Source organism: Homo sapiens, chromosome 4 (assembly GCF_000001405.40).
Source record: "Homo sapiens chromosome 4, GRCh38.p14 Primary Assembly".
In the NCBI taxonomy this organism is placed as follows: Eukaryota; Metazoa; Chordata; class Mammalia; order Primates; family Hominidae; genus Homo; species Homo sapiens.
The window spans coordinates 73,145,662-73,162,172 of NC_000004.12; the positions used below are offsets into that span (position 1 = coordinate 73,145,662).

A 16,511-nucleotide genomic window follows, 5' to 3' on the forward strand; every position below is an offset into this window, starting at 1 on the left:
CATTGTGGCAAACACTAGGAATACAGTTCTTACACTGAAGAAGCTCTAAGTCTAACAAGCTCGAAGCACTTATTATATACGTTCTATTCTAGTTAGTTGTGTGCTTATGTCTCCCTTGTTAGACTTAGTGCTAACACTAAGTGGCCCCAGCAATAATCTAATTCAACATTCTCTTCTCATAAATGACAAAAGAAAGATTAAATTATAAATTATTAAGTTTATAAAATTAATTACTGAAGGGGGGCTTGTTGCTGCCTGCACATGAATTTGTCATAAACTGTGAAGGAAAGAGCACAGTTGCTTATTAATCTTAGAATCTCGGGGCCATAAATATATGGGTGCTTACATTTTAACTAAAATGGGCCTTTGGATGTCTTATTCCTTTTACCCCGCAGGCTAGACTGGAAGACCACCTATTCTACCCACACACAGTTGCTTCATGCTTTCTTACCCCTCAGGCTTCACTCATAACATTTTTTCCAATTGAAATATCTCTTTAGCCACAACACTGCCATATCTATCTTTCTAAACTTTAGCCATCCCCAAAATAATACATCAGATGACTGCTTTACCTTCTGATCTTCTTTACTCTGCATTTTCACTACAACATCTCTTATAATAACCTCAGTATTTGTCACCTATTATTTTTTCTGAAATTATAAAGTACTTGAGGGAAAAGTTTATTATTTATGTTTTAAACTCTTTTATTATTTAATAATGTTCTGAATATTGTAGGCATAATTTATTTCCTAAGCAATACTGAAATTCCTCTAAGCCACATTTGCCTTTTTATATCAAATCAGAAAAGCTTCTAAAAATAGTTAATATCTAAGGGAAAACCAGTCTGCATTAATATCTGTAACACAAAAATTTCCTTTTTCTATGGAAAATGAGGGATAATGCAGTGAATAACCCTATTAAGGATGGACACTAAACAGTGTGGAAAAAAATGTGACTAAGTGAGAGAAAGAATGGCAAAAAAATAAAAATAAAAAAAACAATAAAACTGAAGGTAAAGAAATACCTTTTGTCTAGACTCTCCATAATTTAAAATTAATTTCTTATTGTTAAATATTAAGATTTAAAAAGTAACATAGCTTACCAGATCTGCGCCTGCCTGAAGTAAGACATCTGCTACATCAGTATGACCATTTTCACAGGCATATGTTAGTGCTGTATCCCCTGTTGCTGTTGTTGCATGAACGTTAGCTCCTGTAGTAGTCAACAAATAATACATAGACTTAATAAAGGAGCCATAAGACATATATGACGAAAATAAAAACTTCTTCTAGATAAGTCATACCTCCTCAAGTTAAACAAATTCAAACTTCACTCATTTCCAGAAACAGAGAATATTGTAGGCATTAAAAAAATTACAAACAAAACTGGTTGAAATTAAAGCTGCAGATACTTCAAACAGCAGTAAGGTAAACTGTTCAGAATACATACAAAGGTATATCACACGTTTTTTTAAACTCACACATTCAGTGTATCATAGCATCATAAAAATATTTGCATTATGACATTTTTACTTAAACAAATCATGTAAAAAACTTCTCCCAAATGCAAAAATGCCTACCTGCAGCTAATAAGTATTTAACTAACTCCAAATGACCCTCTTGAGCAGCTTCCATTAAAGGGGTAGAACACCCTAGTTCTATATCGGCTCCTGCCTTAATTAGAAAGTCTGCCACTTCCAGAAAGCCTCCACAGCAAGCCAGAGTCAAGGCAGTTTCTTGAGTTTCTTCTGTCTGTGCATTGATATTTGCTCCTAAAATAAAGATTCTAATTATTTAAAGAAAGTCATTAACTTATTCCAGAGATATGAAAAACATGATTGTTTCTTAATAAACTGAATCTTTAAAATGAACATTTATATTACTATAATAAATAAGAAAGTGCCTCTCTCCTAACTCCTAAGGCAGTTAAAACTAAAAATAAATAAAACTATTAAAATCACACCCAGATTTGATGTACCACAGCTGGAGTAATATTTACTCAGCCAGAAGGTACAAGTCGGGTGATAAAAGAACTCAAAAAAATAAGCTACATCCTCTCATTATAGTGATTCAAAAATGATAAAGATACTGGTGATAATGATGATGATGATGATAATAAAAATCTTAACATTCAATAAGCTCTATTTCCCAGGCAATATCAAAGCATTTTACAACTTATTTAGGTATTATTATTATTATTATTAGTTCCATTTTACAGCTAAGGAAACTGAGGTTATTTAACTTATACAAGGTCACAACATTATTGTCATCAATACTACCACCATCACTATAGCTAGCACTTAACAGGCACTACATGACAAGCACTGTTCTATTAGCTTTATACACACGTATTAACTATCACAACAACCCTACACGAGAAAACTGAGGCACAGAAGGTTAGAAACTTGCCTAAAGTTACAAAATTGGCAAGCAGTGGAGTTATGATTCAACCTAAGAAGTCTGCTCCAAAACCTACGCTTTAAAAATCATAGTCAACATTACTTCTAAATAAAAACAAAAGTTTTTTTTAAAAGTGTCATTCCTCTTAAATTTGTCCAGACAAAAACTTTACTACTGAAAGAAAAATAAAATCACACTACAAATACAGAGATGGGAGATTACTTCTAAACTGAAGATATCTTAACATATTGAAGTAATTGTTTCACTTTTCCCAAAAAAGAAGTTTATGTACTGAGCCCCTTGGCAGCTTCTAATATGTGCGCATTCTTGCACTCTCAGCAAGTTAGTCTTTACTGCGTGGTTTCCCATACTGTTTTTTAAAACATTAGATCTATTAAATACTTATTAGTAGGTATTCCGCCCCCAAAGGAATACATTCTCTTGATCTATTACCTTTAGAAATGTTGGCTCTTATATTCCCCTATTTAACTCACAAGCCTTGCCAACACCAGTTCTGTTTTTCGTTCACATATAGCACATGATGTCTCTGAAAGCTCTATATGAAAGAAGTTTCTTTGATTTTGTTTTAACACAGTATGGGAGCCATTTTCACAGTAAATACTTTATCACTGGTTTGTGTAATAGCTCATTGCAACTCTACTAGAAAGGTGAAATACTAAAATCCAATTTTATAAAATTATACTCTTAGGTTTTACACATTTATACTTTAGTGTCTTGATAGATACGGTTACCTTGACCAAGAAGTAATGCCACCATTTCTTCATGTCCTTCTCGAGCTGCTTCCATCAATGGTGTATAACCTTCATCATTGACCTCTTCCAGGCTAGCTCCTCTTTCAATAAGTAAAGCCGCAAGTTCCACATGCCCACCACATGCAGCCAAAGTTAATGGTGACTCAAATGAATCAGCAGGCATGTTCACTTGGGCACCGCTGTCAAGAAGTAACCTAGCTACTTCAACATGGCCATCCTAATGATAATACAATTTAAAAAATTAAATCAGCACCATTAAAAAAATCTTGAAAAATTTGAAGACTTCTCAATTACTATACAATGAAGTTTATCTATCTCCACTCAAAAAGGAATAGAGCTACATTTAACAGTTGAGTAAATCAGTATTTATTATGCACTGCCTATATTCTGTTAACATAGAAGAGGGAAATAGAGATTGAAAATATAAAATAAGTAGAAACATGATACCTTCAATCAAGAAGCTTATTAACCATTAGAAAAAAAAACAGTAAGTATGTGAAATAAGAGACTATAGTGAGACATCAACACTATATGGTACAAACTTAAATGTTAAAAGGATAAAGTTTAGAGAGGAAAAGAAGAATTTTCATAAGAATCTTTAAGGATAAGCAAACTTTTGATTAGTTAGAAAAAAATGGAACCCTTTTTGGAGAAGTGGGGGAAGGATACATGCTGTGTTAGGGGAACACAAATGCGTACATGGTACTTTCTATATTGTTCATCGTCCAAGTACCAGTGAAATTAAGAAAAGGGCCAGGTGTGGTGGCTCACGCCTGTAATCTCAGGACTTTGGGTGGCTGAGGAGAGAGGATTGCTTGAGCCCAGGAGTTTGAGCCAGGCCTGGGCAAAATGGTGAGATCCCATTTCTACAAAAAATACAAAAATTAGCCAGGCGTGGTGGTGTGCACTTCGTCCCAGCTACTCAAGAGGCTGAGGAGGGAGGATCATTTGAGCTCAGGAAGTTGAGGCTATAGTGAGCTATGATCATGCGACTGCACTCCAGCCTGGGAACAGAGTGAGACCCTGTCTCAAAAATGAATTAAAAAAGAAAAGAAAATTCTATATTCTGTCTTCTGGTCACTTTTTCCCACTGCTTTCCTAATTACTGGCAACTTCAAGGCCCTCTTTTCCCTTCTTTTTGTCCTTCAGTAATTTTTTTCCATCTATATGTTATCTCCCAGACATATTCTTTCAAACATGCCATGCCTATTTTTGCCTCTATGCTTGTCACATTACACAATTTTAATGGCTTACTACTTTTTTTTCTATTTCAATTTGTAGAGAAGACTCTAATGTCTTATTAGTTTGATTACTTTGCTATTTCTTCAGTGCTGAATCTTCTTCCTCGATAGCGAACTCCCACATTTCCTTTAAATCCTAGTTTAAAAACTCAGTATTATAGCAAGTCTTTCAAATGTCTGGCCCCTACTAATATCTTTCACTTATAATATTTACTTCCAGTGCATGTTGGCTAGACCTACAGATTATTCCATTTTAATTTCTTAATCTACACACAGGCCATTTCCTCAGTAGGGGGTGGCAAGAATGTTTAAATTTCCTTATCATGGGGAACTTTTAAAACTGTTACTGTTAATACTATTAATGTGTTTTATGCCCATTATCTCATTTAATCCTCACAACTCCAGAGAAAGATATTTTCCTCATTTTACAGATGAAGAACTCAAAAGCTTAGAAAAACTTTTATTTGTTAAAAAAAAATAATTTGCTAAAGCAAACACTAAGATGGCAATAAGGAAAACAACAGATAACTCAAGTCTTAAATGGCTACCTCATATTTTAAAAAATAGTAAATAAAATTTAACATCCTTTCAATAATTACTCTCTGAAGGGAAGATGAGACAAGAAACTTCAGATTCTTTGGGGGCCCTTTCTACCGCTGGCCTGTTCTCCTCATAAATTTTTCTATGATATTTTGGCCCATTTCTGTGTCATAAATAAACAAAGATACAAAGGTTTAAGAGTACTGTTATGAGCCATTCCCGAATACAAACTCTAAAATGCAGCTCTTCAAAAGACAATCTAGGGCTCAGAAAAGACCTCGAGAGAGGGGAAATTATGTAACATAAATTAGGCCCTACTTTTAAATTTTTGTTTAGTCAATTTATTGGTTTGAGGTATGTTATGCTTATTAATAATGTACATACTCTGAATTATATTTCCTTTTTTCTTTTTTTAACATTTTTTTAAATAGAGAGGGGGTCTTGGTATGTTGGCCAGGCTGGTCTTGAACTGCTGGCATCCATTTTAATTTGTTAATCCAATCCTCCCACCTTGGTCTCCCAAAATGCCGAGATTACAGTCATAAGCCACCATGCCTGGCCATATTTTCCTATTTCATATCCTCAACCAATCTTTACAAGAGTGACTTTGGTATAGTTATATGAGACTAAGAAAATGCAGGTAGCATTGTAAAGCTTCAGAAAGTAACTTTAATAGAAGTTAATGTTGTACAACTGATTCAATAAGGTTCTGACAAACAGAATCATAGCACCCATTGGAAAGGCATTCATTGTATACTACTCTGTCTCTCCCTGGTTAATATATAAACATATTTGACATATTTCACCAATCTTACCATGCAAGCCTCCATCAGAGCAGTGTGCATTTCATCTGTTTTATGCTCTTGATCCGCGCCTGCTTCCAAAAGAAATCGCACCATCTCTAAGTGTCCTAAACCAAAAGTGTACAAGATTACTTGAAAATATTTTATTATTCCAAAATATTTTTTAAAATTATAATATTTTGAAAAGTTATATTTAACTTACAGCATTAAATTTATAAGCATAATAAAGTCAACTAGAAGCCACCCTCAATTGTAGAACACAAATTATACAAGTGATCTTGCTGTTCTACCCCTTACCCTACTGCCCTATAAACTGCTGCTTCTAGAGTCCCTGCTAGAGGTGAACAAAGATGCCATTAAAATCCAACACCCAAAATGTTCCCTCTACAACCTTTTAAGAGCCCAGGCATGTTATATAGTTATGTTATATATGCTACGGAATAAATCAGTTTTCATGAACTAGTAGCCTGAGATAATGATCAGTCAAGTTATTTCTGTGAGAAAATGTATTTAAAGTTCCAATACCTAACTCAGAAACACTTTAGGAAAAACCTGCTTATAAACTGGGAACTGTATGTATAAAAATATTCTTCAAACCACACCATTTAATTTATATTTATATATTTAATTATAATATAAACATGTACACACATTAATGCAGTTTCAAATAAACCATATGCTTCAGTTCATTTAAAGATACAAGTGGTTAAAAAGCAGACGACAAATTATAATTTAAAAAAGACTTCAGATCCTATGCAAAAAACAATAGAAAAATTATTTAATTTTTTCCAGCTTTATTTGGAATGAGCTACAATCAATTCTTATTCAACTGGGAGGCGGGAGAAGGACAGATAGTGGAGTCACAGGTAAACAATTAAACAAAATTTACTTCCATAAGTAAGTGTAGTATCTGCCGCGTCTTATATTTGTCAACTACCTACCATCCCTTTTCCTCTCTGTCATTCTCCCCTCCCCAAAATCCACATTAGTGCTCAGTCTCAGCCTGACTTGTCTCTCTTCCCTAACTCCTCCTTGTCAGTCTATATCCTACAAAACCTCACCAGAAGGAGAGGAAGGGAAGGGGGTCCATGGATACCTGGAAGTAGCAGAGATGTTCTCCACCAGCTCAGTTTGCTATCCAGCTTCTAATTAAAGCCTGCAAGCCCCAACCTCAGATCCCCCTTTTGGATAGCAGGGTGGGGCTACAAGCAAAGGCGAGAGGGCAGAGTAGTTACAAGCAGCCCCATCTCAAAGCTCTCTAGCCAGCAGGGACTCAGTAGTGAAATGCAGCCAGTACTGGGTTCAAAAGTATTTGTGAGAAGGGGAGAGAGCCACCCAATCAACCCACTCCAAGGCTTACCTCCTCTCCTCCCAGTGAAGATCAGCCTCTGCCTAATTATAAACAGGATTGGGGAAGGGAACTAAGGGACCTCAGCTGTGCTCCCTATCTGAAAATCTATTAACATCAGATAATCAAAAGCACTTTATAAATAAACCATATTTTTCAAATTTAAGTTAAATTTTAGTCAATTAATCCAAATATATAAGGATTATTTTCATGTTTATAAATGAAATTATTCCAAAAGGCATCATACAACCTTGGCTACTCTTATATAGAACAAAACAACACCAGGGCCAGAACTAGGGTGAGGAAATCAAAGTGCTGGGTGCAAAATTTAAGGAGCCACTCACATGTAAGCTTGTGCAAGTGAAAGGTTAGTCACTGAGAATGAGTGCCTCCTTAAATTTTTTACTAGGTTTTGCAAAAGCTTTTTCTTGATGCCTAGGGGTCAAGAATTTATGACGTAAATAATATGGGACAACTATATAGACAGATGACATAAAACACAGAAATGAGTGGCTAAACACAAAATTGTATGACTTTTTTTAATAAAAAACTTCCTTAATAAAAAATTTTCTTAATTTACTTTCTTAAAAAGTAAAACACCTTACTTTACAGCCATTTATCTGTCATACATGTGGAGTCTAAAAAATGTTCAGCTCTGTGGCTGTGTTTTAACAATCTAGAATATAGAACATTAATTATCTACAGACAAAATATCTTTCTAGGCAATTGTCCGGTCTGCCAAAGGAGGGCATTTTCTGTACTATCAATATTTTCAGGTTCATTGACATCATTTAAAATACCATGTACCCCTTCATACCAAGCAAAATCTTCCCAACATGCAAAGCTATTATACAGTTCATATTAAAAGAACTGTTTCTGATAAAACAATTAGATCAATTAATACTCATTTTTCAGTGACAATATTTATAGTTAAATCTATATTTTAAAAATTTAAATAGTAAACAAACTGCAACACTGCAAACACTTATTTAACCTTTAATTACATACTATATACTATCATTGTTTTATTTTTTAACTTAGAAACAAGATTACATAAAATAATTATAATTTCACATATTTAAAAACTTTGTTTTAAGAAAGGTTTATACTGTACCTTTGTAACAAGCTAAGGTAAGGGCACTCTCTTTAAATTCATTAGAATGCGTATTAATGCCAGCCCCATTTTCTAGCAGCAATCTGGCTACTTCCACATGTCCAGCACTTCCAGCTTCCATAAGAGGGGTATGACCATTTTCATTATGGTCCTCAATACTAGCACCGGATTCCAAGAGCACCTTTACAACATCTACATAGCCTCCAGCACAAGCATATGTAAGTGCTGTATTGCCTATTTTAATTAGGAAAAATAAAAAGACATTAACATAAAATACCAAAATAAATTAAAGTGCTAATTTACATTAAGAAAATGGAAACAGAAGACTACAACCATAATAAATATTAAATTACATATACATATATGTAAATATATATCTATATATAAAATTCCTTTCCTACTGCATTTTATCTTTCTGAAATCAACTCCCTATTCTCCTTTTCCATTTAAAACCAAAGTCAAATACATGTGGAAAATCATATACACTTATCCAGACTGGGGAGTTGTAAAAGAACTGGGCAACTCTGCCCCAGAGCTAAGTTTTACCTTAAGATGAGAAAAAAGTTGTTTTAATGTTTATCAGAGAAATGCTTCACAAGCTTTTTTTTAATTTTAATGTTTCTAACCTAAAATTACTCATCATATACATACTTTATACTATACCTTTTAATCATATATGTTTTCATTACAACTTCAAATACCAGTTAACTGATCAAATTCAAATTTCTAAATTTGAATTTGAATTCAATAATTTCTAAAACATTCTTTTCTGCTGATAAAAATTTCCCATGTTACAAGAAAAATCAACCTTCTGGGTAAAATAAGAATTTCTAAAAATCCCTTCAAATCAGAACATGACCTTAAAAAACATTTAATAACGGGCCGGGCGCGGTGGCTCACGCCTGTAATCCCAGCACTTTGGGAGGCCGAGGCGGGCGGATCACGAGGTCAGGAGATCGAGACCATCCCGGCTAAAACGGTGAAACCCCGTCTCTACTAAAAATACAAAAAATTAGCCGGGCATAGTGGCAGGCGCCTGTAGTCCCAGCTACTTGGGAGGCTGAGGCAGGAGAATGGCGTGAACCCGGGAGGCGGAGCTTGCAGTGAGCCGAGATCCCGCCACTGCACTCCAGCCTGGGTGACAGAGCGAGACTCCGTCTCAAAAAAAAAAAAAAAAAATTTAATAAATTTGAAAAATCTGAATGAAGGAAATGCACAAAATATTTCCATGAAATTTTAGAATTTTTACACAAATCTATCTAGGCCCAAATTTGAAAAAAATATATATTTTAGACTAAAGTTATGCTCTTCTTCAGGACACAATGTTTTCACAATATTTTTTTCTGTGGGCCACAATTTAGTAACAGTAGGAAACAATGAACTATCCTTTTGTTCCACAATTGTTTGGTCTCCCTATCTTCCCATTCCTCTCCTAAAAAACTGGAAACATGGATTTGAGCACTACGGCCCACACCTCTCAATTTCCAAGAGAGTGGTCCATCTAACTGGGTCAGTGTTTTACTTTTATCTTAAAGAATCTTAAAAGGCCAATTGCCCTCATAAACAAAACAGGAAGAATATCATTTGAAATATATTCTATATACTTCAAAACTCATACACAGATGTGTGAGAATATGTAGCACTTCTAATAAGAGAACTGAAAAATTAGCACTAAACATCACTTTCATGCAAAATCATTATTACCAAATGATGTTACTATGTAGTAAAACTGAAAAAGAAATAGGCATGACCTGTTGAAGACTGTGCATTAACATCTGCTTTATGAGCTAGCAGCAACTTCACAATTTTGACATGTCCTCCATTAGCAGCAGCCATTAAAGGTGTAATGTCACCTTTGATTCCCCTATCTTCCACATTTGCATGCATTGCCAACAAAACCTTATGAGAGAAAAATAGTTTAAAAAGATATTAGGAAATAATCGTCAAAAAATTTTGAACACGTATTTATATAACGTCTACCTAGTCATAGTAAAAGAGCTATAAGCACACAAAATTTATCTAACAAAACTATTTGTTGAAATAATCCTAATGGTTGGAAGGATTTATTTTATTATTTCCTTAGTAAGCAAGCCAGTTTTTAAAAAAACAACAAATAAGCTTTATTTTGATAATACGAACCTGTGCAAGCTCATAGTATCCAGCAGAACAAGCTAAACAAAGGAGGCTCTCCCCTTCCTCTGTGTGTTCATTTACACTTCGCCCTTCAATGAGTAACTTTCGCACAGCATTTACATCTCCTTCTGAACAGGCTTCTGCCAAACTGCGGCTATTACGGAAAGAATATCACAATACCAGAATATAAGAATATTAAAAAATTGCACAGCATAAATATTGTTTTTGATTGTTTTGTTTTTTGTTGTTTAGAAACGGAGTCTTGCTCTGTCACCCAGGAGGGGGTACAGTGATGCAATCAGCTCACTGCAGCCTTAAACTCCTGGCCTCAAGCAATCCTCCTGCTTCAGACTCTCAAAGCACTAGGATTACAGATGTGAACAACCACACCCAGCCAGAGTATTGGATTTTTATGTCAAATCTTGACAGTTAATATGGTTTGGCTCTGTGTCCCCACCCAAATCTCATGTTAAATTGTAATCACCGGTGTTGGGGAAGGGACCTGGTGGGAGATGATTAGATCATGGGGGTGGATTTCTCCCTTGCTGTTCTCATGATAATGAGTGAGTTCTCATGATATCTGTTTGTTTAAAAGTGTGTAGCACTACCCACTTTGCTCTCTCTCTCTCTCCTACTGCGCCATGGTAAGACATGCTTGCTTCCCCTCTCTCTCTCCTGCTGTGCCATGGTAAGACATGCTTGCTTCCCCTTTGCCTTCCACCATGATTGTAAGTTTTCTGAGACCTCCTCGCTATGCTTCCTGTACAGCCTGTGGAACTGTGAGTCAATTAAACCTCTTTTCTTCATAAATTATCCAGTCTCAGGTAGTTCTTTATAGCAGAGTGAGAACAGACTAATGCTAACATTAGTGCTCAACAAGGATGATTATTTCAATATGATTCATAACAAAAAGGCAAAAATGATTGAATTCATTGAGTTTTTTACAATCTACATATTAATGGCACTGAATTAAAATTATCAATATTCCAAAATGTTTTCAGTTATGCAACTGAAGGATAAAGTCTAATTTACTGGTAAGTGGAGAAAGAACATAAAATTTTAAAACATAAAAGTTTATAGAAATCACATACAAATAACAGGTCATAATTATACTTCTTTTGTTCGGTCAGTAGAAAATTTTTTATAAAATTTAATTAAAAAGTATAAAATGTGCAAAACTTCCACTAATTATAAAGATCTATGTGAGTCCTTCCATCAAGTAAAGGGAAATCAGACGGAAAAGATGGGAGAATGTAATATTAATAAATGAATAACTGATGAGCCTTTTTTGGTTTTGGTTTTGAAAGTATTTACTTATACAATCAAATTTGGGGGGAAGTTTCAAATCCAGGCAAAGAAAAAGCTAAACTCAAGCAAAATGAGAGTGGAAAAAGTGGAGTAACAAAAAATTAAACTGAGAGAAAAGTGTATGCCCCATAAACTTCCCAAAACAATTCCAATTGTAGACATTTCTAAAGATTCTCACTTTCGTATAAAATAATCCTAAAACTAAATCCAGGGCTATTAATATTCTTTTTATTTCAAATATAACTCAATTATTTTATTATCCTCTTAAAATATGGCCCTTTCATTTCAGATACTAAAGGCACCTACAGATAATCACTTTTCTATAGCCCTGTTATTACCATCAGCCAGATTTAAGACCAACATCTTTGTCTCAGATATGGCAAAGCCTCCTAACCAGTCTCCTTGCCTTCACACTACTTGCTCTCCTTCAGGCTCTTTTCAACAAGGCAACCAGAGAGATCTTTTTAAAAGAAAAGTAGAACACGTCCGCCGGGCACAGTGGCTCACGCCTGTAATCCCAGCACTTTGGGAGGCCGAGGCGGGCGGATCATGAGGTCAGGAGATCGAGACCATCCTGGCTAACACGGTGAAACCCTGTCTCTACTAAAAATACAAAAAAAAATTAGCCGGGCATGGCAGCGTGGCCTATAGTCCCAGCTACTTGGGAGGCTGAGGCAGGAGAATCACTTGAACCCAGGAGGTGGAGGTTGCAGTGAGCCAGGATCACACCACTGCACTCCAGTCTGTGTGACAGAGTGAGACTCCATCTTGAAGGAAAGAAAGGAAGGAAAGAAGGAGAGAAAGAAAGAAGGAGAAAGAAAGAAAGGAAGAAAAAGAAAGAAAGAAAGAAAGAAAGAAAGAAAGAAAGAGAGAGAAAGAAAGAAAGAAAAGTAGAACATGTCATTCCTCTACTCAGAACCCTCCACTGGCCTATAATCTCACTCACAGTAAAAGCTGAAATCCTTACAAGATCTGCCTAGTGGCAGGATACCATATTCCTCTTCCCTTTTACTTCTCTGGCTTTATCTCCTACCCTCTCACCCTTATTCCTTCCACTTTGGCCACATTGGTCTTCTTGCTGTTCATCAAATATGCTAAATAAGCTCCAACCTCCAAATATTTGCATTTGCTGTTCCTGTGCCAAGACAGCTCCTCTCTCAGACATGGCTCACTCCCTTCCCTATTTCAGGTCTTTCCTAGAAAGCCACCATTTTAAGTGAGGACTTCTCTGACCACGCTATTAAAAAATGTAATATGACCTCTGCTATGGTTTGCATATTTGTCCTCTCCAAAACTCATGTGAAATTTAACCCCAAATGTGGCAATACTGATAGGTAAGGCCTTTAAGAGGTGACTGAGTCATGGGGGCTTTGTCTTCATGAATCGGTTAATCCATTCATGAATTAATGGATTAATGGGTAAATGAACTATTACTTATCATGGAGTGAGACTGGGTAGGCTTTATAAAAGGAAGAGAAACCTGAACTAGCACACTTAGCCTACTTGCCATGTGATGGCCTGTGCTGCCTCAGGGCTCTGCACAGAGTCCCTGCCAGCAAGAAGGCTCTCACCAGATGCAGCCCCTTGACCATGGACTTCTCAGCCTCCATAATTGTAAGAAATAAATTCCTTTTCTTGCCCAGTTTCAGGAATCCTGTTACACGCAACAGAAAATGAACCAAGATGACCTCCAACCCAAACACTGTCTTAGCACTTCCCTTTCAATTTTTCCCATAGTTATATTATTATGTGCAATACTATATATTTTATTTACATGTTAATTGTATTGTCCCCTTACCAAAGTGAAAGTCTCGACCAGTACTAAATAAATTTGTCTTTTAAACATCTCTTCTGATTTCCCATTTCACAGGACACTGACAGTCCCTAGACTCAATGCTATCATTTTTAAGCATGTTTAGAACAAATCCTTCCCATAAGACATTTCCTGTATAAGAGCATACCTTTTCTCTCTTTCAAAGTAGTCTCTCTCTGTCTCTTTCACTTCTTTATGCATATACCCTAATTTACATTATCATTTGAATTTTTCATTCAATTTCCATGTGTGTATACCAGCTTGAAAACAACCTTACAGGATCTACTCTAGCAACAGCTGAACTTAAGAACTTGTGGGCGAAGGGCATATTAAGCCTGGCACATGGCACTGTCCTTAACTAATATAAAAATGTGGCACATAGTACTCACTGCACTTAAGTCCACCATCTTTCTCAAACTTTGTTGAATAAATATAATTCTCACAAATATGTTCTATTTTTTTTGCTGTTAAATTCCAGTATTTTCAATGCAAAATCATTTGTGACTTTATTTTTCTATTCTATTTCCTGCTTGAACTGGTTTTAGTATACCCTTCAAGGTGTTTTAATTCTTTCTCTTGCCAATCTTAGTAGGCACCACATTAAAAAATATTTGGAGATTACCAATGATATTGTAGGCTAGTAAAACTGAACATTTACTATGGAATAGAAACCGAGGTTAACTAAAGAAGGGAGTCAGTCAACCTATGAGAAGAATGGTAAAGCAAGTTAATACAAACACAAAAATCTAGATGAATGAACACTAATAAAGAGCCAAGAGAAACAGCAAATTCATGACCTTGTTAATACTATCTAACCTCTCTTTTATGCTCTTAAAAATGTTGTATGAAAACACCATTAGACAACAAAGAATTCTTAAATGCTATAATTTACTCTCTAAACCCAAATAGAATATTCAGATGTTCTCAATTGTTTTAAGGCAATTGCTAAAATAAATAAAATGGCTTCATTTTATTAGAGGAGGCAAAAAGAAGCCACCAACGGTTGAAAATGGTAACATGTATTAATGATTCTTTTCTAGTTGCTTCCTTGAAGTATCTATCCATTTTTCTTATCACTTTTTTTTTTTTTTTTTTTTTTTTTGAGATGGAGTTTCGCTCTTGTTGCCCAGGCTAAAGTGCAATGGCGCAATCTCGGCTCACTGCAACCTCTGCCTCCCAGGTTCAAGCGATTCTCCCGCCTCAGCCTCCCGAGTAGCGGGGATTGCAGGCGTGCGCCACCACACCCGGCTAATTTTTGTGTTCTTAGTAGAGACAGGGTTTCTCCATGTTGCTCAGGCTGGTCTTGAACTCCTGACCTCAGGTGATCCGCCCGCCTCGGCCTCCAAAGTGCTGAGATTACAGGCGTGAGCTACCATGCCTGGCTTCCATTTTTCAATATACATCCATAATTGTGTTTATATATGAGATGGTGTGATTTTTATTGGATAACATCATCAGAACAGCTTAAAATGCCATGTCACAAAACATTTACTGAGTCCTTACTAACTGTAAAGTGCTATCTATATACAAGGAATTATAGGATATAAAAAAATAAAGTCCCTGGACTCACATTCAAGTTATAGGAACTAGATCTATAACTTCTTTTAAGACTTCAGAAAGCAAATAAATAAATAAAAAGCCTTACTCTTTAAAATGGTCAGAACTACGCAAATGAACTGTAAAATGGCCTAATTGTAAAACATTTACTTCTTTGTCACCAATACATTTTTAAAAAAAATCTAAATAAGCAAAAAGTCTTTTATAACATATTGACTAGGCCATCAGCCTTGCAGTCGGAAAGACACTGGTGCTCTGCCACTTATTATCTATTTGATCTTGATTAAGTTACTCATCTCTCTTTAACTTTTCATCTGTAAAATGGGAGTAAAAACAAAATCTATACCTTATAAAGTTTTTGTGAATCTAAATAAGACATCACATGTTAAGTGGTTAGCACAGTGCCAGCCAGGCACAAAATAAATGCTCAGTAAATGTTAGCTATTTGTTATTATTTTTAAGAAAATGATTTCATACTGATGGCAGCAAAAATGTACTTACTTGTCCGACTGCCCTGCATTTGCTGTGCTTTCAGCTCTCATACGGGTAAGTGCAGCAGCAGCTTCATCCAACGCACAACTAACAGACGATGTCAACCTCCGAAGTACTTCAGGATCTGCAAAGGCTTTACCATCAGCCGTGGACAATTTTCCTATTCCTATTATATTATTTTCACACCAATATGGACACACCCAAAAGGAGAAACAAAGCAAAATTCAAGTTACTTAAAGCTATACTGTGTATGTTAACAAATAACCTCCAAATGGTAGAGTAGACATATATATTGGCTGCCCAGCATCTTTTGAGAAATCACTCTTCTCCAGTTTTCTAATAATCTTATTCATTCCATGTGGTTCATAGGTACTTGATCCTGTGACCCTCTGGTGCCAGAAACGGGTCTTTGGCCTATGATGGGACAATTAGACTCTGTCATATCTCTGAAAGAACGTATATTCAAAGGTTGCTAAATTGGTAAGATGTGAGTCATAAGCTATTTAGCCACTTTTGTCACCACATACAGAAAAAGACTGCCCAAAATAAAGTCAACATAGAGGAGAACAGAGACACAGAAAGAGAAGGGGACAGAGTCCTGATAAAATTATTTTTAACTCATTGACGCCAGTAGTGCCAGAAGCTAGCACCATCTCTATGATTTGGGAAATGTCTACATTTTATTTTTTTTAATTTATATATATTTCTTTTCGAGACAGGGTCTTATTCTGTCACCCAAGCTGGAGTACGGTGGCATGATCATAGCTCACTGCAGTCATGAACTCTTGGGCTCAAGTGATCCGCCCAACTCAGCCTCCCAGTAGCTGGAATTATAGGCTCACACCACCACACTAGGCTGATTTTTCTCTCTCTCTTTTTTTTTTTTTTTAGACAGGGTCTTGCTCTGTTACCCAGGCTGGGTGCATGCCACGATTACAGTTTACTGCAGCCTCAGCGTCCTGGGTTCAAAATCTTCCTGCCTCAGGCTCC

The 16,511-nt window shown here is 35.8% G+C and overlaps 1 protein-coding gene across 25 annotated transcripts in view; it reads right to left on the minus strand.

Annotated features, from left to right (window-relative positions):
* Positions 1–16,511, minus strand: part of ANKRD17 (ankyrin repeat domain 17) — a 185,423-nt gene that overhangs the window by 72,286 nt on the left and 96,626 nt on the right. For all 25 annotated transcript variants that reach the window (XM_005265671.5, NM_198889.3, NM_015574.2 and 22 more), the window contains 8 exons: positions 15,531–15,687; positions 10,358–10,505; positions 9,970–10,117; positions 8,219–8,452; positions 5,769–5,863; positions 3,152–3,389; positions 1,580–1,771; positions 1,103–1,212 (listed from right to left, as the gene is read on the minus strand). In XM_005265671.5, the coding sequence (XP_005265728.1) occupies positions 1,103–1,212; positions 1,580–1,771; positions 3,152–3,389; positions 5,769–5,863; positions 8,219–8,452; positions 9,970–10,117; positions 10,358–10,505; positions 15,531–15,687 (1,322 nt within the window). The remainder of the gene's footprint in view (positions 1–1,102; positions 1,213–1,579; positions 1,772–3,151; positions 3,390–5,768; positions 5,864–8,218; positions 8,453–9,969; positions 10,118–10,357; positions 10,506–15,530; positions 15,688–16,511) is intronic.